At 38.5% G+C, this 25,506-nt stretch overlaps 1 protein-coding gene and 1 long non-coding RNA gene across 5 annotated transcripts in view; one reads left to right on the forward strand and one right to left on the reverse strand.

Moving 5' to 3' along the window:
• LOC124904275 (uncharacterized) overlaps positions 1-10,228 on the forward strand; it is a 29,076-nt gene extending 18,848 nt beyond the window's left edge. The window contains exon 2 of the long non-coding RNA XR_007066323.1: positions 8,902-10,228. This is a non-coding gene — a long non-coding RNA (uncharacterized LOC124904275). The remainder of the gene's footprint in view (positions 1-8,901) is intronic.
• The window catches only part of CHST9 (carbohydrate sulfotransferase 9), a 278,828-nt gene that overhangs the window by 82,650 nt on the left and 170,672 nt on the right, over positions 1-25,506 (reverse strand). The gene's annotated exons all lie outside the window — the stretch shown is intronic.

A 25,506-nucleotide genomic window follows, 5' to 3' on the forward strand; every position in this document is an offset into this window, starting at 1 on the left:
GAAATAAAGAGAATGAAAAGACAAAGAATAGACCAAGATAAATATATGCAAAGCATATCACTGATAAAAGAATTATATCAGAATACATAAAGAAAACTTAATTTAAAAACAAACCGTAGAATAAAGAAATGAACAAAAGATTTGAACAGGCACTTCACCAAGGAAGATATAGGGATGGCAAATAAGCATATGAAAAGATGCTCAACATCATTAGTTATCACAGGAATATAAATTAAAGCACCATGATATACCCCTACATACCTATTTAGAATGGCTAAAATGAGAAAGACTGACCATACCTGCATTGTCATTGATGTAAAAGGATTACAAATATCATACATTCTTGATGGTAACATGAAATGGTGCAACCATTCTGGAAAATAGCTTGGCAGCTTCTTAAAAAATTAAACATATAACTACCCTTGATCCAACCTTCCTAGGCATTTTTCCCAAGAGAAATAAAAGAATGTCCATACAAACACTTGTAAACAAATGTTCATAGTGGCATTATTTGTACCAGCCAGAAACTGGCAGCAACTCAAATATTCATCGAGGCTGCGCCTGGTGGCTCATGCCTGTAATCCCAGCACTTTTGGATTGCTTGAGGCCAGGAGTTTGAGACCAGTCTGGCCAACATGGAAAAACCCCATCTCTACTAACAATACAATAATTATTTAGGCATGGTGGCAGGTGCCTGTAATCCTGGCTACTCAGGAGGCTGAGGCACAAGAATGGCTTGAACCTGGGAGGCAGAGATTGCAGTGAGCCAAGATCATGCCACTGCACTCTAGCCTGGGAGACAGAGTGAGACTCTGTCTGAAAAAATAAGTAAAAAAATAAATAAAATTTAAAAATAAAGAAAAAAGTTCATCAACAGGAGAATGGATAAACACATTGTGGTATATCCAACACAATGGAAAACTACTCAGCCACAAAAAAAGAGTGAACTATTGATACATGCCTCAATCTTGATGATTCTCATGATAACTATGTAGAGTTAAAGAAGCCAGGTGGAAATGAGTACATACCATATGATTCCATTTATGTAAAACTCTAGAAAATATAAAATGACCTATTGTGACAGTGATTGGGGTGGTAGGGAAGGGTCAAAAGGGACACAAGGAAACTCTTTCTTTAAATATGTGCAATTTGTTGTATATTAATTATACTTCAATAAAGCTATTTTAAAAAGCTAATGGCATAGAGCTGAGTGTTAGTGATTGGAAGGAGGCTGGAGGGATTCTGGGGTGCAAGTAACTGTTTCTTGATCTGCATGCTGGTTACATGAATGAAAATGTATTGGGTTGTTAGGATTCACTTTTTTATAAGTATGTTATGCTCCAAAAACTATTTTGCTTTAAAAGTTATATGTGTTTCACTTCCAAAAATAATCTGTAGCCAATGGCTTTTTGGTAGTGAGCCTTAAAACTCTCCATCAATTAATTAATGGCCTTAGCATTTTATGTTTCATGTCATGCATCATTTTCTCTAGCATGCTGTAGTAATTTAGGTGTTTGCTGTGTCTTCCCTGCAAGACTATGTGTGCCTCATTCCTTTGTGTCTCATTCCTCATGCACCCTGCAGAATCTGTCTCCTGTCTTGCTCATTATCACTGGTTGAATATTGTGTTTAATAAATGAACACAAATTTGTTGAGGAAAAGAAAGTTCTAGTCCATTGCAATCCCATGTTCCTTGCCTTGTTACCTTTCCACAGTTTTCTTTTATTCTTCCCTTCCCTTCCTCCTTCTGCTCTTCAGGCCTATCTTATTTTTCTTCAACATGCTTGCTGCCTCCCCAGCGTGGCTGGAATGGAGTGAGAAAAGGAAGGAAGAGAAGGTAATAAGGTCAGAGAGAAACTTGGGGCTGAGATCTGGCAGCATGGGGATAGGGATTTGTAAGGTTGTGTGAAATGGGGGACCTATGCAGTCTCTGAACCCACTTACATATTAAAATAATCACTTAAACATATCTGTTGAGATTAGACGGTGGTGAGTATAGGATAAGAGGGAAAGAAAGCAGGGTCACTTCTTAAGAGGCTATGGCATATTCCAAACAAGAGATGATGGGGGCTTAGACCAGGGCAGTAGCAGCGACAATGGGGACAAGTGGTGCTTGACATTTGAAAGTGGAATCCTCTTAATTCTCTAACGGATTAGATATGGGATGTGAGAGAAAGAAAAGAATCAAAGATGATTCCAAGTTTTATTGCCCAAACAACTGTAAGTAAGAATGAAGATGCCATCAATGGACATGTGGAAGACTGTAGACTCATGGGAAGAAAACTGAAAAACATGTTTAGTTTGGACATATTATGCTTCTTAGACTTTTAATGATAAATGCCAAATATGCAGTTGGATATATAAAGCTGGGATCCAGAGAGAGATGTGGTTGGATATGAATTTGATGATTAACAGCATGAGACTAGCTGAGGTTATTACCACGGTGTAAGAAGGGAAGAGGACAAAACAGCATTGAGCTACCTCAATGTTAGAAAACTAGGGAAACAGGAGGAAGCAGCAAGGAAACTAAGAAGCACCTGCCAGTGAAAGCAGGAGACGATGGTGACTTAGATGCCAAGCAAAGACAGTTTTCTGAGGAGGAGGGAGTGATCAACTGTGTCAAATGTTTCTGACAGGTCTGATGAAGACGAGGACTAAGACCTGACCACTGGATCTAGTAATAGGGTGTTCATTGATGGCCCAGAGCAGTTTTGTAAAGTGATGGAAGTGAAAGTCCCTGTGGAAGGGCTTTGAGAAGGAATGGACAAGAAGAACTCCTTTGAAGAGCATTGCTGCAAGAGGCAGAGCAGTGGGCAGTTGTTGTGAGGGAAAGTAGGGTTAGAAGAGAATATTGAGGATGGGAGGAAGAACGGCATGTTTGTGTGGTGAAGGAATGATCCAGCGAAAAAAGGAAAAATTGATGTTGTTATCTGTCACTTATGTTCTTGTTCATATCCCACCCTGTTCCTATGTTTGGGGATCCCAACTTTGAGGTTGAGCCCACACATCCTAGATTCTCACTTTCCCAGAATCCACAAAGATGGGGCACAGGAACAAGAAGCTCTACTACCAGATGCCTCAGCCCCTCACTCTGAATTAGAAGCGAGTGACATGAAGAACAAATCACACCACATCTATGCTGGAAACAGATGCTAGTGAGCCTTCAGACACAGAAAGTTTGAGAAAAAGAAAAGTGTTATGTTTTCCTTTAAAGGAGTTTATAATCACTGAGGGTGGGGATTGACTGTCTCTTATTTACCACTGAAGCTCCTGAGCCTAGCGCAGTTCCTGATACCAAGCAGAAGTTTATTAAATTTGTGATGAATAAATAAATGAATACAGACTAGTTTTACTTAGTTGGTTGGTTGACAGATTAGAGTGTGAAAAAATTCACTTCAAAGGTATACTTCAATCACTATCCCTTGTTTAGCAGACCTTAATCAGACTTAAAGGGACAGAACTGAAGTTATGATTGCTTTGAAATTCTTTCTTTTTTTTTTTTAAAGGAATGTGATTTTGTGTGCCTTGATATCAGACCTTATATTTGGTATTGACTAAATGGCCTGTTTAACATTTCACATGATGCGTTAACACTGGAAAAGGAGAAGAACGGGACAGAAAAATGAAAAACAATAGCATTTTTTTCTTGAGCAATGCGATGGCATTAAGCCACTATAATAGTTTTAAATAAAAAGAACAAGAAGAGAAATAATTATGCTTGAGTTTAAAGTGGGCATTTTTACCTATATACCCTGTAAATCCACTGTGAGTCAAGTTTCTGTAAGTATTCATTTGCAGGCTCTTTTGTTTAGTTGAAGTTTTCATTTCCTTATAATCTGCAGGCAGACACCCTAAATGCAGCTCAAATACTTAAACACATCTCATAACTTCAAACTACTCATTAAGAACATTTGTCTACTAGGCATGATAATCACCACTCTCCTCTCCCCATGTTGCTGTTGATGACAACCAATAGGAAGGAGTGGGAGGGACACGTTATGGTTTAACCAGTCTCTCGTAAATTCTAGAGGATTCAAATCTCAGACTATCCACACAGAGCTCTCCATGGTTAATCTTGCTTAGCATGGCAGGTGTTAAATCTGTCCCAACCCAGAATACTTCCACTTCATAGTAAAAACACTTAGGTACCATGAGCTTTTTTTTAAAATAGGAAGAATCACAGAAATTAAAGAGAATTGAAACCTTAAATTTTATTATCTGGGGAAAAATCAGAACTTTTAGGTCCAGAAATGAAGGTGGTTTTAAAATGGTATTAGTAAACTAATGTTGATGACTGTCTCATAAAGAATAACCAAAGAATCCAAGAAAAGTTCTTTATCTGTGACTTTTTATACTACCAACATAGAGCCAAGATTTCTGTCAAGCCACAAGTATTGCTACTAAGACACTGTAAAGGCAGTTTAATATTATCTTAAGATAAATGAGGAAACAATATAATAAATGAGTAAAAAGAAAGACAACTAAAGAAAGAAAACCAGAAAGACTATATTCGATTTAATTGTTTTTAGAAAATTAAACACAATCTTAAAAATAAAAGAGTTAGAACTATGTCTGGAGGAAAGTAAAAGCAAAACAGAACACTTACTTTGTTCTAAATATGGCCATTTGGAAACTGTGAACTGAGATTGCACAGAGAGATTCTGATCATAAAATAACAAGTTGTATTAGTTTGCTAGGGCTGTCATAACAAAATGCTGCAGACTGCGGGCTTAAACAAAGATGTACTCCTCGTGGTTCTGGAGGTTAGAAGTCCAAGGGCAAGGTGCCGGCAGGGCACGTTTCATTCTGGGGCCTCTCTCCTCGGCTGGGGGATGGCCCTCTTTCTCTTCTCACCTTGTCTTCACATGGTCTTTCCTCTCTGCCCTTACAGATTTGATGTCTCTCTTTGTGTTCAAATTGCCTCTTATAAGAATGACTGTCAGAATGGATGAAGGCCCACTCTAAAGGCCTCATTTTAACATAATTATCTCTTTATAGGCCTTATCTCAAAATACAATCACATTCTGAGGTACAAGGGGTTAGGAATTCAACATATACATTTTGAGGGCACACAACTCAGTTCCTAACACTAGGTTTCCGAAAAGATTTTACACATCAATGTATATATTTAAAAGATAATGCTAGAAATGTGTTTTTCATTTTCTTTTCTCTTATAATTTTTCTGAGGGCTAAAGTGACCTAATACATAACAGTTATGATCAGCCAAATGCTTACTCTGTGTTGTGTGTGTGTGTGACAGAGAGAAAGACAAAGAGACACAGGGAGACAGAGCCAGAAAGAGCGATTTTCTCAGTACCTTTTCTCAATACTTTTTCTCTTTTGATTTCTGATAACACGTTTGTTAGGCAGCCTCCCAAATGGCTCTCAGTGGTCTGCACCTCCTGTTCTTCATGCCCTTGTGTATCCACTTGAGTGTGGGCTGGATTTATTGATTCTTTTTTTGCGGGGCTGGGGGGTGGACAGGGTTTTGCTCTATTGCTCAGGCTGAAGTGCAGTGGTGCAACCTTGGCTCACTGCAACCTCTGCCTCCTGGGTTCAAGTGATTCTTTGCCTCAGCCTCCTGAGTACCTGGGATTACAGGTGTGTATCACCGCACCCAGCTAATTTTTGTATTTTTAGTAGAGATGGGGTTTCACCACGTTGCCCAGGCTGGTATCAAACTCCTGGCTTCAAGTGATTCACCCATCTCAGCCTCCCAAAGTGCTGGGATTACAGGCGTGAGCCATTGTGCCTGGCCTGGATTTATTGATTCTTTCCTAACAAGTAGTATATAGCAGAGTGACAGGACATCAGCTCTAATATTAGGTTGTGAAAAGACTGTGGCTTCCATCTTGGGTGCCTCTCTCTTTGAGTGCTCACTTCTGGGGAAAGCCGGTGGACGTGTCTTGGGCAACCCTGCGGAGGGTCCCATGTGACTGAGATGGAAGCAGAGCTTGTGAGACCTGCCAACAGCCACATGAATGAGCCTGCAAGTAGCAACCCTTAAGATGACTGCAGCCCAGTGGCTCACGCCTGTAATCCCAGCACTTTGGGAGTCCAAGGTGGGTGGATCACGAGGTCAGGAGATCAAGACAATCCTGGCTAACACGGTGAAACCCCATCTCTACTAAAAAAAAAAAAAAAAAAAATGCAAAAAATTAGCTGGGCGTGGTGGTGGGCGCCTGTAGTCTCAGTTACTCGGGAGGCTGATGCAGGAGAATGGCATGAACCCGGGAGGCGGAGCTTGCAGTGAGCCAAGATCGCGCCACTACACTGCAACCCGGGTGACAGAGCGAGACTCCGTCTCAAAAAAAAAAAAAAAAAAAAGATTACTGCAGCCTTGAGGAAAACCCCAAGGTAAAACTTTCTAGCTAAGCTGGCTGGATTCCCGACCCACAGAAACCGTGGAATAATAGACTGCTGCTGTTTTCAGCTGCTAAATGTTGACATAATTTGTTATGCAGCAGTTGATAACTAATACAAGCTTAGCCTGCAAATGTCAGTCCAAATTTTCCTTTTCAAGCTGTAGCTTGGGATACATGAAAAATAAGCAAGTGTTTTCAAAAATCAGTTTCAGAAAACTTTCATTAACACTTATAAATTGAGATGAAAAACCTAGGATGAAAGTTTTCAACACAATAACAAACCTGAAAAGAAAGACTGCTTTGCTTTGTCTATTATTAAAGCAAAATTGCTTATTGTGTATCTTAATGTAATTGATTTACATTTTCGTTCTATAATAATTTAGTTTAGGCTGAATTTTGAAAATAAATCAGCTGCAATTTTAGTTTCCCTCTTAAGAGAGAGCTAAAAGTTCAAGAATTACAAAATTAATAGTGTCAGCAATAAGAAATTATATAGTTAATATGAAATGCCCGTCTGGATGATAGAGCCAGATTCTTTACTCGTTGCTTACATGTCTTATAAGCCAGGAATGGGTCTGGTCCAATATCTGAGTCCATCATGATTTGTTTCTCATGGTGCTCAGGCACCTGCCCTGTCCATCCAAGATGATGTGGGCAGGCCTGGGTGATACCCAGGGTAGTCCGTCATGCACCATTCTTACACTCTCATTCTTTGTACTTCTGCTCTTACAACTTATACCCTGTAAACATGATTCTAAGTCAGCAACATTTTTTTTAATTGGAAGGCTTTAGACACACTGATATAGTTTGGATGTTTTGTCCCCTCCAAATCCCACGTTGAAAGGTAACCCTCAACGTTGGAGGTGGGGCCTGGTAGGAGGTGTTTGGGTCATGGGAGCGGATCCCTCATGAATGGCTCGGTGCTGTCCTCATGATAGTGAGTGAGTTCTTCAGAGATCTGGTTGTTTAAAAGTGTGTGGTACATGCAGGATATGAGGGAGAGGAAAGGCCTCTTCTTCCGTGCTTTTATAATCATTGGTTAACAGTTAGGGTAGCAGTGCTTCTATATAGGACAAAACCAAACTCCATTGGCTGGAGAGGCTGCAAGGCAGGAAGGCGGATACCTGCCCCAAAGGATGTTAGAGAATGGGCAGTTTCATAATTTTCAGACAGGCCTGAGGATACAGACTCTAGTTAAAGTACTGCCTTGGATTACTGTCCAAAATACTCTCTTGTCCCTCCACAGTGTGCATGTATGTGAAATGCATGGCTGTGTGCATGTATGTGTGTAATCTAACATCAGATGCTATATCTATGTGTATATACAGGTACCTAAACTATGCCTAATCTCTTAATTTGACTCTATGCTGCTTGTCAGAGAAAAGCAGTAGAAAATTTGATTTGGGCCATATTTCCTCTATCGTCAGCAATAATCCTTTGTATTTTAAACACATGTCCCACAACTATCAGAAAAATATGCAGTATTTTTTGTTAGTATTTTAAACATCTTAGCACAATGAGTCATAGCATGGGTCTGGAATTCTGACCTCCTGAGTTCCAATTTTGCTTTACCACTTGCTAGCTACGTAGGTATGTTGTTTCATTCTGTGAATTCCACCTTTGCATCTTTAAAAGGGAATAACAGCAGATGTTACTGACAGGGCTATAGAGTGCTTAGGATCCACACACAGCTATTAATCAATAAATGTTGGTGATCATGCAGAAAGGTGGAACAACTTTCTTAAAATAAGTAATTCTCCAGCATATAACTGCAAACAAAATTCTAAGTAGAGAAAGTGTTATTATTAGTAGTATAATCCTGAGCTATAAAATAAAATGCTCCAGTAATATCTATATTATCCATTATAAACACAATTAGTATAATGTAATCCATCTTTCTAAGCCATCTGTGGGGGTTTGGTTACTTCTTCTTACATAATCTCATTGAAGAGGATCTCATGGCATGGAATTAGAGGAGAAACCACTATGTAGTGATGAGATTTATCTGCACAATGCAAGATTTCTAGCTAAGCTTCATGTAAAAGGTATGTCTTGACATGCATCTTAGACAATAATGCCATGGGAAAGAGTTCTGCAAATGGAGTTGGAAACTTTTGATAAGGAAAGGGTTAAGATAAATGTGATCTTGTAGCTTGGTGGCCATTCCACGACATCACCCTAGAATAGCACTCAAAATTAATCTCCAACTGCGAATCACTTTCCCTTTATAATAGCACATAACCACTTTACTATACTACCTAACAAGACATTTTGGGTAATATCACTGTCTTCAAGGCCTGGGAATAAGGCTGAACCATGATTTTTCGGGCCTAATATAAATTTCTGCCACAGGCCTCTAGTCAGGGCCTGCATAGGGCCATTTACATATACTCTCTGCCATTAATTTTTGCCACAAAGCACACAGTTCTAAACCACAGCATATGATGTGGAACTATGAAGAAGCGTTATTTTTATTTTGAATTCCCATTCTGCATAGCTAGTAATTTTGCATCTTTTTTTGTTCTGTAATCAACAGGAGGAGCAGTGTCAACAGTCCTAGCCAGCTGTTGCTGAAGGGCCCAACACCAAATCCCAGCTGAAGAACAGCTTCTCATCTTTTGAGACACAGCACAGGGTGATGGGCATGGAGCTCTTCCACACTCCCCACAGTCTGACTTAGCTCTCTCCGTTGTGCCCTCCTGGCACCCTGCTCGTATTTTATTGTGGCACCTATATCGCTGGATCTCACTCACTGGTTTGCACTCCTGTATCCCCTTTGAGGGAACAAATCCCATGCCTCTGCAATCCCAGGATCTGATACTGAGATAGACACTAAACAGATATTTAAAAATTTTTGATAATCAATGAATGGACAAGGAGAATAAATAATATGAAAGATGAAATAAAGAAATAAAAGTATTAATGAGAGTATAAACATATCCAGATTGGGCTGGGTGCGATGGCTCATGCCTATAATCCCAGCACTTTGGGAGGCTGAGGTGGGAGGATCACTTGAGGTCAAGAGTTCGAGAGCAGCCTGGCCAACATGGCGAAACCCTGTCTCTGCTAGAGATACAAAAATTAGCTGGGTGTGGTGGTGTGTGCTTGTAATCCCAGCTACTTGGGAGGCTGAGGCAGGAGAATCACTTGAACCTGGGAGGCGGAAGCTGCAGTGAGCTGAAATTGCACCAGCCTGGGTGACACAGTGAGACTCTGTCTCAAAACAAAACAAAACAACAACAACAAAAAAAAAAAAAAAAGAAAGAAAGAAAAAAAGAAATCCAGATAGACTATTATGTCTTACTGTTCTTTTTCATTCATACCAAATGGGAAAGAATTTCCTGTCAATGCTGGCAGTCTCTGGCTATCATGTGGCAGCATCCGGGAAGGACCTTTGAGGCCACGCTCTTTCCCTCAGGGGACAGTGAGGTGCGTTGTCCATGGCACCGATGGGTTTTTCTCTGGGTAGCAGGAGGTTCCACAATTCCCCAGCCCCATTTCCTTTTAAGTCATTCTGGTTATCATTTCAGTTGAAAGAATTGGAGCTACTTTTCACTTGGGAGAACATAATAAAAATCACTTATTCAGTACTAAATTAGGATGGACAGCCTTTCTCTTGGGAAGAAAAGCAATAACAGATCACAATAATGAGATTGTGCAACAAGCTTTGAAAATGCTTATACTACATTTATATGAAACAGTATTTGCTTACACTTCAGATATGGCTGTCGATTTATGGTTCAGAGCCATGGAGCAGGTAATAAATATGACTGTGACAACTTTCTGAAATCATTTTTATTACTTTTTAAAAATAAAAATACTATTTGCTGTTCAATTCCTATTAAACTATAGCTTCTAAAATACTCAACTTTGGATTTTCAAAATCAATTCTGGAAGGATGTAGTCCATAATGCTATAATTCATTTTTCAAAGTACATAGCATCACTGATGCAGTGTGCTCTAAAAACTTGTGTTCCAAGCATGATAATGATTTTTAGTCCATATCATTGATATTGACTTTACTAGGTCTCATAAAATGCATTTCCAAAAGTAATTACATGTTTTGTAAGATGAAACTCAATATTTAATTTTAAATTTAAATAGAACAAACATTTAAAAGTTTATATAAAAAAATTGGTGAAAGAAAAAGAATTTCACTATATTATATAATTTTGTATATCCTGAGAAAGTTATATTTTTCTCTTTAACTTTCTAAATTCTAACAAATGAGGTCCAAATTACCTACCTTTCAGGGATTTTTAAGTATTGTAATGTATAAAATATAACAGAGTTGGTAGTAGTAAAGTTATTATTATCTAAATATTAAGGGAAGTCTATGGATAAAATAAAAATAAAAACAACAAATACATACAATCAGTTTAGTTGGGTACTTAGACGTTAAGTGGGACAGTGTGTAATGATGCAAAGCCAACTATTTAGTAGCTGGTTATAAAGCACATTTCTTAAAATAGGAGGGGAAACCCCTTAAATACAAGAGAACCACGTAATAAAAATGCAACAGAAAAGCAGCTTGATGATGTGCACATTCAACTCAGTAACATGCTTGTAAATACAGAGACCTAGGCTGTCTTTTTTCATTTTGGGGAACAGATTCTAAATGATATCTCCAACTACCTCTTACCCCATCCCTGGTAGGATCACATTACAGATATCCACCCCGGTTTTCAAAGTTGTGCAGATAGCTAACCATGCTCCTAGATTCACCCCAGACCTCTGAATTGTCTAACCACATCTGCTTTGCTCTTAGTTTCCACATACAGAACTCTAGATTTGTTGGACGTTTGAGGGCTTTAGCAACTTCAGCAAGAAAAAACTATAGACATAGAATAGTCTTTCAAGAATAACAAGATGAGTTAAGTGGCAAAGGTGTTCACTTACGAAGGGACTTATCAAAATTTTAGTCCAGGTATGCCTTGCTTTCAGCTAACTCAAATGTAGAGAATCTAAAATAATATATCTATTCTTTCAAAATTAATTTGTCGGGCAAGTGATATGTGACGTGGAAACATAAGATGAAGCCCTAGCCTAGCAGTCCACAGCCTACAGAAACAGTCTTAAAGCCTTTTTCATTGTACAGCACTTTCTCTCCATCATTTATTTGTTTTGTCTATCTATCTATCTATCTATCTATCTATCTATCTCTCTATCTATCTATTATTCTATCTATCCAACCATCCTTTATCATATACCACCATGGTAGAATATTTTGATCTCATAAAATTTACCTTTCCCCTAAAATAGAGATTTAAAAAGATAAAGAATACACACAAATGACATCTCCAACTCCCTCCTACCACATCCCTGGAGGGATCACATTACAGATACCCATGTGGGTTTCCAAAGTTGTGTATATAGCTAACCATGCTCTCAAGATTCACCCCCCCATCTCTGAATTGTCTAATCACATCTACTTTGCTCTTAGAACAAACGGAAGTTCTAATCATTTCTCCCTAGTAGATGATCTTGCATACCCCTTGGGATATGAGCAACCCACATTGGAGATCAGTGCCCCCAAAGGTTATAAAGCATGTGAACAGATTACCATCAGAAGGCACAGAGATAGAAGCAACTAACTCCCTAGGGGAATTGGAAAAACTTTACAGGGAGAGTAGATTTATAAACAGGGTCTTTGAAAAATGAGGAGGATACAAAACATAATGTAGGAGGTGATGATGTGTGTGCATATAAGTAGATTATGCACTGATCTTCTCTAAGGGAATAATAAAAAGCCAGACTGACTCTAGGACTGGACATTAAACTTGGTAGATTAAGAGGAGGAAGAGAAATAATTCTATTCCCTTGGAAAAGAGGCATGACCCTCGGCTGCTCACATTCCATGCCCAAGGAGGGCTGAGATGCTGCATCTAGTCCAAGAATGTATTTGGGTGAAGCATTAGCAAAAGTATAAAGAAGTTTGTTTTGCAAACAATTTTTTACTGCTTTCCTAGAAGTGCTTTTACTTTTAGACTCTTAAGACAAGCTGAGATTTGGATGTGGAACTAGTTAAGAGAGAAAAGAAGGTTCATGGCTTAACTAGGTTGGAGGCTAGTTGGCCTGCCTCTAACTTTGTCTTGCAGAGACTTCATGGGGCTTGGAGTAAAGGCATTATTAAAAAAAGACTATGCCCTCCTGATTCTGTTTGCTGGGCACACCCTTCCTCAGAGACCTCAGAATGCATGGTGGGAGGGTGGGAGGGCAGGAGGGATAGGACAGAACTTAGTTATTGAGGATCTCATTTCAGATAAGACTACTTATGACAGAAGTTTGGACTGGGTAAAATGTCAACACAAACATGGGTTGTGGATTGGCACACTCAGGTGAGGAATGGCATAGAATCAGAAACACCCACGGAACAGAAGACATTTACCAGGAAGATGGGGGAAAGGCAGAGGGAACAGTGGAATTATGAGATAACAACCTAACCTCTAAACTCAGGGCCAAGCATATACAGAACATTTTGTGAATTTCAAAATGCTGCCCCTGCAGAAAGACAATTTTTTAAAGAAATGCCCACTCAAGATTGACAAAGTAAAAAAAAAAAGGCACATCCTTTGGGTGGATGAATGAGAAAGAGTCACTCCTTCCTTTAGGCTAATTCAGTACTGGGCCAGGACCCACAGCTTGAGAAACAATGTAAGTGAGCTTTCAGCCCCCATTCACCCTGCAGTGCACAAACTGCAGAATCCTACCTGGAGGCCTGCACCATCCTTAATTTTTTTTTTTTTAATTCATTGCTCACTTGGAAGGCTACAATAGCCTTGCTATTTCCTTTATTGCATTATGTAGCCTCCTGCAACAAAAACTGAGCTCTTTGCCAACATGGATCATCTTGATATTCCTAGAAACCAGGAAGTAAATGCAATATAGAAATGCAATACAGACCTATGTCCTTGACTTATGATGGATCAGCTTATGATTTTTCAGTTTTACAGTGGTGCAAAAGCTATATCCATTCAGCAGAAATTGTACTTTTGAGTACTCATGTAACCATTCTGTTTTTCACTTCAGTAAATTATTCAAAAAATTACATGAGATATTCAACACGTAATTGTGAAATAGGCTTTGTGTTAGATGATTTTGCCTAACTGTAGGCTAATGTAAGTGTTTTGTAGGCTAGGCTAAGCTATGATGTTAGGTAGGTTAGGTGTATTAAATGCATTTTCAATTTATGATGTCCTCAATTTATGATGAGTTTAATGAAATGTAACCCTATAATAAGATGAGGAGCATCTGTGGATTACAGTTCACAGAAAAGCAAATATTCTATCTTCCTAGGAAAAATGTTAAGAAATTATGCAATGTTAAAGTAATGACTGTGTGAATAAACACATAAATTGTGAAGTTAGGTCAGCAGAGTAGTTTCAAGTGGGAGGAAATGTTAATGGCAGAAATGTGAAAAGATGAAAATCTTTTACTAAGTTAAAAAACTGAAATTAAAATTAATTTATCTGTACATTGTAACTCAACCACATGGGTTGGCTAACTAGATAGAAATCTTATAATTTGACCTAGCGCTACATAAATTTAAAAAAGTTAACAGTATCCTGAAAATAATTTTAAAATAATAATTGTGTGAAAACTGGCATTGGAAATAACATTTGTTGTTTGCGTGAATGAAAAGTTTATTTAAAGGTTGAGGGCAGAGTGAGGTGCTAAGAGTGGCTTATTGAAATCAAAGCTCTAGAGTAATCTGCATAATAATTATCCTAATCATTTTCCTACCAGAAAAACTGATGATGTGTAGACTTTCCCATGACCACATGGCGAGTCAGGGGAACAAGGAATCATATTCATGATTCCCAGTCCCAGACCACCATTTCATTATTCAAGAAGACCTAGATCTACCACTCATGGGAGGTTAGCCCAAAGCTCACAAACTAGGTCGCTGGGTGAAGTGCAGCGAAGTTTTCTTTGTTTCAATTTACAGGATGAAATAATGGGCATGGACCTGGTAAATTGTACTTGCAATTATTTTCTTAATTATAACTGCAGGGTAATTTCCGCAGATAGGGTGTATAATATAGAAAGATTTTTTCCCCCTCACACTAAGGAGTAGGGCAATTGAAGGTCTTCCATTTCTCCTATAAGGTGTTGCTGAGACATCTGATATTCCTCACATATAGCACTTGGTGATTTTTTTGTACTTTACAACACCTGCACATGACAGCCAAAAGAAATGGTGGATTTGGAAAAGAAAATGAATTAAATTGGTTTTTGGGTATCACATGGACAAAAACAAGCTTTTGGGAGTTTTTTTGCTATACTTTTCACTTTTCAATCTACGGGCTTAGTCTTGTATATACACCATGAAATATGTTTTTCTGCTTGATTGTTTCCTATAAAAGACTGTAATGTAAGAATGTGTTATTTGCTCCAATTTTTCTCCCCATTTACTTGATCAGTGTGAGAAACTATTCTCCTCTAGCCTCAGATAACATGTTATCTATTACCATCACGTTTAGGTAAAACAGAGCCTGGAAACACATTTTATTGATTTCTTATGGAAATAGGAATATGAGTGTCTGGAAAAAAAAAAAGTACTCACAAAACAGAGATAAAAACCAAAACCAGAACTCAGTCTCACACCTAATGAAAGCAGAGAAGAACAGTAAAGTGGAAGAACACAACCAGGCATAATGGGAGGAAGAACAGAATGAAAGATAGGCTTGTAAAAAGGAAGAGCAAATTACTGCGAGCAACAGAGGGAAGGAGAATTTCCTCAGGCGAGGATTAAGGAGGGAAAAGGCCAGAGAGAAAGAGGCCACAAGAAAGCAATGAAAAGAATCAAGCAGGGCGGGGGCGTTTTGCTAGGCTTTTCTTTTCTGTCTTTTTTTTTTTTATTATTATATTTCTTTCCTTAACAACACATTTGTGCTTCCAGTGGTAAAAGGCAGAGGCAGAGAAAAGATAAGATTTCTCACTTCAAAATTGTGCCCACTTTTAATGGTCCTTTTTCTCTAACCCATTTGGCACCTAACAATAATCCATCAAGAGAGGTGCTGAATCCTTATGTCGATAAATGTATTTTTTCCCTCTCTTGGAAAGACATATGCTACTAATTGTTTTATTTCAGAAAGTACTTTTGGCAATGCTGATTTTATATCCCTAAGTGCCCCCTAGTGACAAGGTCCAATTTCAAAATCTCTTTCACAGTAATTTTGTTCTAACGGTTTCCCTTTTCGTAGTACAAATGTGGCTGTCGTAGGGACAAACAATCCAACTTTCGATCAATTTATTTTAATTAGGCAGAAAGGAGGGTTTCTTGAGCAGGTCTAGGACACCATAATAAATTACTGTTTTTCTTTATGAATTAATTTATAATTGGAAAAATTCACAGTCCCTTAGAATAAAATCAGGCCTCTCCAAATTACACTATTAACAAAATAAACTATTTGGACTGTGAGTAGTCACATTCCCTTCTCCTCTGTTAAGTTATATGAAGACTCAGATTCCTGACATCGTTTCTTTTAATTCAGTTTGTGAAACAACAAAATAGCAGCACAGACATGAAGAATGACAGGCTATACTTTTCCAGTTATGATTTCTCCTGATCACTTCTGATATTCCTATAATTCTAGCATGAAACATAGACACTGCAAGAATAAATGTTAAGGCTTAAATACTGATTTAGCGACTCGTGTGATATGGGCATATTATGTAATTTCTTTGAGCCTCAGTTTTATGTCTGTAAAATGGGAATACTACTACTAATAATAAAAAGATTATTGTAGGGATTAAATGAGATATTACATGTCAAGCTTTTAGCAGCATCTCTGCATATATTTAGGACTTAATAAATGATAGTTATTAAAATGCTCAGCCCAATAATTTATAGAGGCCAACCTTGGGTCTTTTCTTCTCTCTTTAAAATTTGGTGGAACCGATCTTAATACTTTGAAGCAGAGTCACAATGACCTTTAAATAGAGTGGGGATGATATTTACTTCAAATCGATGCTATTTTTAGATTCTCTTTAGATCCTGAGTACTCAAGAGCTTAACTAGAACATTCAACAAATCCAGTTCTGGTGTACCATATTTAGCAAATTGTCTATGAATTTAAACATGCAAATAGGAGATATTATAACTTCTCTTTGTATATTGTTTTACACATTAAAAGATCCTGGAATATATTTTCCTCATTTTATTGATGAGGAAACTGAGGCACAGAGGGGTTATATCAATTGGTTTCCATGGGGGAAGGGGCAAGTCTCCAGGGGAGGCATCAACATCTGCTGGAGGTGAGGGGGAAGCTCTTCCTAGCTACGAACCTTCTTCTTCCACTAGGGGCAGGAGAAGCTTAAGATTTGAACAGTTCTGCCCTTGCAGTCCCTGAGCCACTAATATTGATGTAAGCATGTTGAATTTCTTAGCCACTTCTGGGATGGAAACAAAGTTAGGTACTACTGGGCTAGTAACTGATTTTGAATGAGAATCTAGGTCTATTATATTTATATTCCCATAGCTGCATAAGGAGACTCACTTCTAATTCTTTATTCAGAATTTTTAGCTTCAAATATTTGTGTTTTTTCTCACTTGCACTCCCTGTACCACCATAGTCTTACTTCCATCACCTTTTTACAGAGCTAGTTAAAAGGAAAACTGATTAGCATGAAGTTAAAACGATCGGTATGCCACTGGAATTTTCTCTCTGATGTAATCAGAAAAATAGATCTCAGTCTGTGCCCTAAGAGAGGAGGTCCACTGCTCTAGGCTTTATTAATTTTATTTATTTATTTATTTGGTCAGCATCAAGTGCCCAATGATGAATCTATTTTCAGAGCTCTCTAAAATTTATACACTGGGTGTGGAGAGGGTATGCTATATTCATAGAAAGAAGTCCACCAATTCCAATGAACTTGATACAAATAAGTACTTTGATTGTTCTGAAAACCTCCAGCAATGTGTGGGTCATGAACTGAATCTATAATAGTTTTCCCTGCCATATAAATTTTTATTATAATGCTGTTTGGCCTGTTTAATTATTTAATTTCCATTCACTTGATTTCAAGTGTGGTTGAGATGTCAGAGATCATTAGTTGTTTATCCTCATAGTGTCCTAGATAGCTGGAACAATCGTTTGTTTCTAAAGCCCATTTCCCGTCTGCAGTTGCAGCTCTTTTTGTACTACATTTGCTTGCCTCCTCCACCATTCCAGATTCAAATGATTTATGTGATTGCTTCTCAGTCTTTCTGGGATTGCTGCAATTTTTAGATGTTATTTCGGTTCAACCTGTCACATAAAAACTGCAGAGAAAAGTCCAATCTCCCTGAGATAGATTGAGTCAAAGCCAGCAAAGCCGGGTCATTTGAACAGCCTTGGTGCAGGTAAACTAGACACTGGTGAATGGGCAGAGATGGTGATCCTGTCATGGCAATATCAAACACAGCATGAAAGCAGGAGAGAGCACATATTATGCTTTCCGTATTCCAGTCCCCCTTGTGTGTATGTGAGCATGTGTACGTGCATGTGTGTGTGCGTGTATATGCGTGTGTGGGCATTCCGTGGAGCTTACTTCAAGCTCCTAAAATTCCACATTCAACAGGCGCAATCCCCACTCTGGTATCAAAGTCTCCATGGTGGAGAAACCCACTGAAGTGTGGATTCACTAAAATATGAATAGTTGACAATGCTACCTCTTTATGACATTTTCTGCTTAAGTATCCCTTTCAATTACAACTATTTAATAAAATGGCTGTCTCCTGTTTCCATAGTCAGTGAGAGATGGTGGCTGAGAGAGAAAGACACAGACAGCACAATATATGTTTTGGAGGTAAAATTGATAGATAGCCCTTAATTGAAAATGCAGACTAAAGAAGAGGGAAAGTGTCCAGTCCTAAGTTTCCAGCAGTAGCAAGGAGGTGACACTTACTGAACTGAGAGATTTTGGAAGAGGGCCAGGGGTGAGGCAGGTAGCACTAATGGCATATCAATAGGCAGGTGGTTACGTGGCTCTCATGTTCTGAAGATAAGCAAGTGAAGAAGAGACATTGGCTTACAAGAGCAGATATAATCACTGTAGGAGGGAAAGAGGATAGATTAAAAAGCAAAAGGCCAAGCCAAGAATAATCCAGTGAGTAAAATTCCAATAGAAGAACAAAACTCAAAGGGATGGAAAAGGAACAGTCAGAAAGGGAAGGGGGAATCCTATTTTTCTAGAAGGAGAGGATAATAAGATTAGGACAGGTCATGTCAGATGGACAATAAAGTGTCCTCTGAATTTAACAGCATGGAGATCAACCATTCGCAAGTGCAAATCAGTGGAGTGGCTGGGACAGAGCCAGACTGGGGTGAACATGGAGAAAATAGGGTCTGGGGGGACAGGAAAGGGTATAGATAACTCTTCTGAAATGCATGGCTAAGGAAAAGAGCTGTATCTGGAAAAGGATACAGGATTCAGGAAGATCATTTACTGACTGATTTATTTTTTGGTGGGGGAGAATACAGAGCATTGCAAATGCTGACAGAAAGCATCCAGTAGAGAAGAGGTTAAAGATCCAGAAGAGAAAGTGAGTCACTCATCAGGGAGGTTCATGGGAGGACACGGAGAGACAGGACCCACAGCATAGGAGGGACGACTCACCACTGATAGGAGGTGGGTCCACTCCTCCCTTGTAACAGGAGAGAAGGAGAAGACAATGAGAGCAAAGCATATTGGTGTATACAGATCTGGTGAAGATATCAGAGATAGATCTCAGCAGGTGCCTTCTATTAACTTCTCTGGAACATGAAAGTCATCCACTGAAGAGGAGAAGAAGATGGGGTTGGGAGATTAAATTTCAAACTAGGGGAGATATGGAATGGTTACTTCAGAGAACTGACCTAACTAAAGAAGTAATTTCAGCATGGTCAAGCAGTACTTTTAAGCATTTGTATTAATAACAACAATCAAGTAGTTAGAAATGATAGCATATCACATATAAATCTGAAAAGCATTATCTCCCCTCTTATACTTGGTCCCTCCTAAGCATGCTATATTAAAACCAATCAATTTAAATGTAGTTCTTTCTCTAGTTTGTAGTTCTCCACCACTTAATATATCTTTTGGCTTTGAAACAGTGTGTATTGAGCAGATGTTTCTTTAAGTTGACAATCCTTAATTGGAAAAAGGAAAAATAAATTGCATAAAGTGTTAAATGAGTTCCTTGCGAGGCTAGGAGGCAGTCGTTCATTCAACTGCTCCCCCTGTCCTCTTGTATCTATCTCTTTTCCCTACCTATCTCGGTTGCTTTCTTATTCCTTTAGCACCTGCCACAGTGCTGGGCTCACAAGAAGTATTCTGGAATACTGGCATTCCATTCTTCTGCCATCATCAGGAGAGTTGAATCTTCAGTGGCCCTTCAATCTTGAGACAGGATTGCAGCAGGTTCTTGTTTTTTTGGTTCTGTTCTGTTCTGTTTTTTTTTTTTCCTTTCCTTTGTCAAAAATACTGAAACTCAGAATTGAAAACCAAAGGAATCACTTGCGAGTGCTCTCACTCTCGTCCTGTGCTCTTCTCTCTCACACATATAGAAATATACCTCTATAGTTCAGGTAGGGTTTTTGCACTGTATATCAAGGACTTAAAGAGGAAAGGGGGTCCTGTTGATTCTGCTTAAATATTTTGTTGCAATTTGTAACAATCTGTAACTCGGATTCAGTCATGGAATCTCAAGTCTTTAATGTTGAAAAGGATCGTAGAGACAGTTTCATCTCCCCTCCAGCCTGGACTACACTCTATTTTATGGATGACAAAACCTACAATGGTTAAGTGTGTGTCCTGAGGAGCCCATTCTGTAAAATAATGACCTTAGAGTTTTTATGAACATGACAAAGAACTCTTTCCTAGGAGGAGGCCAGGCATTTACATGCTCATTTTTCTAGAATGGTGTTCTGCACTCATTATTGCTTAATGAATGCTGGATAATTTGAATTCGTTGTTCATGATCCTTTACTAAAAAAAATAAGCACAGATCTTTGGACTAATGGAATTTGCCAAGTCATCATCAGGCTAAGATCTGGGTCTTAGTATAATTTCCCTTCTTTCAGTTCAGAATTAAAATATTATAGATAGGTGGGTGAAGTAATGCCAGTAAGTATGGTAATACATTTCTGACACATGGCATGCAATCTGTGAGGGCATTCCTTCACTTGGTCCTGTACTTTGGGCAGTAATGAAGTGGAAAATTAAATTAAATAAGCTTTTATTATTCTGTGGCTCTGTTGAAAAGGGTACCATCAAACACTTTAAATAAAAAACATATCTTCTGAAACAAAGCTTCTGAGTTCTTTGGCATTATTGAACTGTGAAGAAGCCTTCCTCTCATCCACTTTATGACTTTCTTTTCTTCTGCTTTTACCTTTGGTAGAATCATATCCATGGTAAATTATTTGGGGTTGCATCAGAAATACACACTTCATGAGCCTTGGAGGTAAAACCAGAAGGCATAGTTTCTAAATTAAACCAGCAAAAGTAAAAAGGTAATACTTTTGTTTTATTGTTTTCACTTATATCTAACCCTCTAACCTCAGTTTTCTGTGAAGGCTTATAAGTCTTAGACTGCAATATTTCTAATTCTACTAGGTTCTTTACTTAAATATAATTGTATCATACTCAGAATCATTCTCCTTTATAACATGTCTGAAGATACGTATTTTTTTCATATGAAGTAAATTTATTTAAGATCACAAAATGATACTTGACAGCTGAAAGGGAGATCTCATATTCTTAACTTTTAGCCCTGGGGACTTAAGGGAGGTCACTCTCATGGTCTATGTTTTTTTCTCACTTCGACTTCCTTCTTTTAGACTATTACAATTTTAGTGACATATGAAAAAAACAGCCTCCTCTCCCTGTGTTCTTGTCTACTGTAAGTCATTGGCCACACATGAATATTACATGACTTGAAGTAATTGTCAGGGTGAAATCAAGACAGTTGTTGTCTTACAGTCAACTCAAGTGATCTGATGTTCCACCAGGACAGAGACAGGGCAAGTGCAATGGGAGGAGTGTGAGGTCTGCTGCCCTACAGCCTCGAACTTGTATCCTAACTCCTCCTCTACTTCCTGTGGGGCTGTGGATGAGGAACGAAACTGCTCTGAACCTTGGGTTTCTCATATACAACATGAAGATAATAATGTCATTGATATAGAGTTGATCTGAGGATTGAACGAGAGAGAGTTCCCATCTCTCATCGTACTCAAGAATTAGTACCTATCATTACTGTGTATTTTGGCATCAGCAGAAATGTCTCAAGGGATGATGGGAAGCCCCATCTTGATATCTGATTGGGAATTTCCTGATCGGGACTGTTTCTAAGGGGCTCAGGACACCAGCTGCAGAAGCTATAGTCACTTGCAGGAATTATGGCCATGAGCTGTCTCAAGGGCAGATGGGTGGGGAAAGGAAAGAGAGGGCGGTGAATACACTCAGCAGACCACCAGCCTCTGGTAGGCAGTGGCTGAGGAGTGACAGGTCTGCTGAGGCCAGGGCTCTTGGGGTGGGGCCAGGTATTCAGATATTGTAAAGGCTCCTGGTGATTTCTGATATGCAGCCAAGCTTGAGAAGCCCTGGCATGGAGATTAACAATAAGGAGGACTTGAAGCCACAGGAAGATTTATCTCTGGGTCTTTTTGGGTAATTAGTGACATGGAAGTCTGGCCTGGACAATGTAGTAATAAAGTCAAAAAAGAATGACAAAATAGCAAGCCTATAATCATATGCATTAATTTATTTAAATTTCTATAATAAAACACCACTGAAGTGGCTTTCATTTTCTCTTGGTGAAGGCAGGAATTATTTTAACAGAGCAGAGAGTGCTCATTGGTGTAAACAGACAAGCTTCAAACAGTTCATAGAATCAGGCACACCAATGCCCTGAGTGCAGGGCCGTGAGCGGAAGGTAAGGGATGCCGCCCAGGCAGAATAGAAGAGCCAGGGCCCCATGAAGAAAACTTTGAGCCATTCTCAGGCTGGGGAAAAAAACAGACAAGAGCAGCACCATGCAGTAAATCACTTGTTGAGGGGCCAAGTCAGGGTTAGCAGAATGAAGGCTGCTAGAATGAGGAAATCCCACCAGGAAACTAGAGTGGCTACCCAGAACGGGTGGAAATTGAAAAGGGGAGATCTTTTAAGAGAAGACCATAGAAATAAGTTCAGGGAGCCTTTGAACTTGAATTGCTCAGCTGTCTATTGTATCTATTTATTTTACTTAACAAGGTTCCAAACTCTCAGTCTCAAGGAGACTGGAATATACCAGTGAGTGAGCTGGGCTTCTCTCTAGAGTGCCAGGCAATGAGCTAGACTCACGGCTTCTGCTTCCCAGTTTCTCCTCTTCAGGAGAGTTCCCACAAGGCCAGCAGGTGCTGGCCACTGGTGATTCCTGACAATTCCCTGCACACTGGATCCGAAGTTTAGATTGCTTGCCTTCTACTGTCAAGACCACCTTTGCCTTTGCCCTTTGCAACATGGAAGCAAGCTCCTCCTCTTTTGGTGCACAGGCCCACATGTATCTAGTTGTGCTTTGGTCCATGCAAGCCTTTCTACATGATACTGGGGAAAGGGGAGGCGTGCATCTGCCCAGACTCTGATGCCACTAGTATGCTCCCAAGTCCATAAACTGACAAATACATAAGTACATTCCTATTTGTTAATTATAATTTATGTACTGTTGACCCTTGAACAATACAGGGTTTAGGGGGGAGCCAACCCCCCTGTGCCATCAAAAATCTGAGTATAACTTTTGACTCCCCCAAAATTTAACTACTGATAGCCTATCGTAGACTAAAAGCCTTACTGATAATGTAGTCGATTAACATATATTTTAATGTTATATATGTTATATACTGTATTTTTGCAATAAAGTAAGCTAGAGAAAAGAAAATATTTTTAAGAAAATCATAAGAAAGAGAAAATATGTTCACTATTCATTAAGTGGAAGTGGATCTCATAAAGATCTTCATCCTTGTCTTCACATTGAATAGGTAGAGGAGGAGAGGAAGAGAAGGAGTTGGTCTTGCTATCTCAGGGGTGGACGAGGCAGAGGAAAATTCACATATAATTGGATCCATACAGTTTAAACCCATGTTGTTCCCAGGGTTAACTGTAGTTCCTTACAGTTTACAGAGCACTTTGGCATGGAAATGGAAACTATAAACAAACAAACAAAAAAGACAAATGCCTGCAGTTCAGCAAGGTAGAACAAGTTTTCCCAAATCACACAGACAGGATGTAGTGAACTTAGAACTCTACTCCAGGTGATATATTTCCAAGTTCAGAGTCCAAAATAAAACAAAAGGTACAGTAATTATAAGTCAATTTAATTCTCAATAGTTTTGGACATGCGGCTAAAAATTATAGCTAGTGGCCATCTGTCAACAAATGTAAACTATGAAACTGGATATTAAATTATATCTAATTTAATACACTGTACATAGGATCTAATTTTACATACTGTGGCCTAACAGTGTGCAAAATGTTAGGCTACCCCTGTAGTGTACAGTGTCACCTCTGTCATATACCTCTGTCAAACTGGTGCAGTGGAGTCCTGCCTTCCAGATCTAATTCTTTCATTACTGTATGAGCTTGGGTAGGGCCACTCAAACTCTGTCATTTATGAAATAAAGGATTATATGATTCAACTAGTAATGACTTTCATGACACATGCAGTGTATCCAATAGCAACAAGTGAAGTGGTATCCATAGTTTCTCATTCCATGAACTTGTGTGGTGCATAATATTTGCCAAGTCTGTGCATGTAATAGCAATAGCTAGTTTTCAGAGCATGTTACACGCGCTGAATATACTGTCCATTTCAGAGCCCTTTACGCACAACATTGGCAGATTCATGAATTATTATGTTATTTACCTTTCTACTATTGAGTGAACAGTTGTTAATTTAAATATTCTTTTATAATTTGATTGATCATTTGGCATGAAAAAATTAGGAAAAATAATTAAACAAACAAGAAAGCCAAAGCTTGAGCCCGAGGCCCTGATCCATGACATGAAATTCAAATACACTTATGAGTATCTGAGCATATTTTACTCTTCTAACAACTTCTAAAGATTTAATTCAAGAAAGGGCTCCTTGACTTAAAAAAATTAGCAAAGAGCCTTACTCAAGGTACTGTGCAATTAATATCATTATTGAGAATTTCCCTAGTTGCTTCTCTCTTTTGCATATATTAGCAGCAGGTGTTGTTTTGTATTTAACTTATTATACACATTTTGTTATGTCACAGAAAATCAAAAATTTCATTTTAAAGTTCTAATTACCTAGAATTTCCTAGATGATCATTTATTTCTTGAAAATTAATGTCTTGACACAGTGCCTTTCAAATAATATTAATGTAGAAAATGTAAACTAATTTGAATTTAATAAATTGATTGCCAACTCTTTCTTTTATGTAAAAGTAGGTTGGGCACACCTTTGGTAACATCAAACCTTTGGAAAAGTTGGTAAATAAAATTTAAGTTCAATTGTATTAATGAAATTAAAAAGCTATGATTGTGGTATTATCATAAATAAAATATGTGAGTGCAACAAATATTAAATAACAAGATTCAAGAACTCTGCAACCAGGCCCTCATTCACAAGCCTACAAGAACATGTGCACTTCATTAAAGTCAATGGAGTGTACCAGTTCATCTTGGCATTACTCATAATCGAAACATTTCAATTTTAGTTAACACACACACACACAAAACTAATTTAAAAGTCAAATGAGTAAATTAGTTCTATGCTCCTATGTTCCAATTCCATGTTGATATCAACTAGCTGAATTTAGCCTCAGGAGGTATGAAAAAATATCTAATACAATGAATGGAAAACCTTTTAAAGAATTACAGATCTGAGGCTGAGGCAGGAGAATGGCGTGAACCCGGGAGGCGGAGCTTGCAGTGAGCCGAGATCCCGCCACTGCACTCCAGCCTGGGCGACAGAGCGAGACTCTGTCTCAAAAAAAAAAAAAAAAAAAAAAAAAAAAAAAAAAAAAAAAGAATTACAGATCTGTTAAAACGAATGTTTTTGCAACTAACTCAACAAACATATATTTTATATTGTAAGAGCCCCTCAAACTGCTCCATTAGAAAACAGCCAAGCTTAACTACAGATTTACTTCTGGATTTTGAAAGCAGCGAA

This window comes from Homo sapiens, chromosome 18, assembly GCF_000001405.40.
Source record: "Homo sapiens chromosome 18, GRCh38.p14 Primary Assembly".
Taxonomy (NCBI): Eukaryota; Metazoa; Chordata; class Mammalia; order Primates; family Hominidae; genus Homo; species Homo sapiens.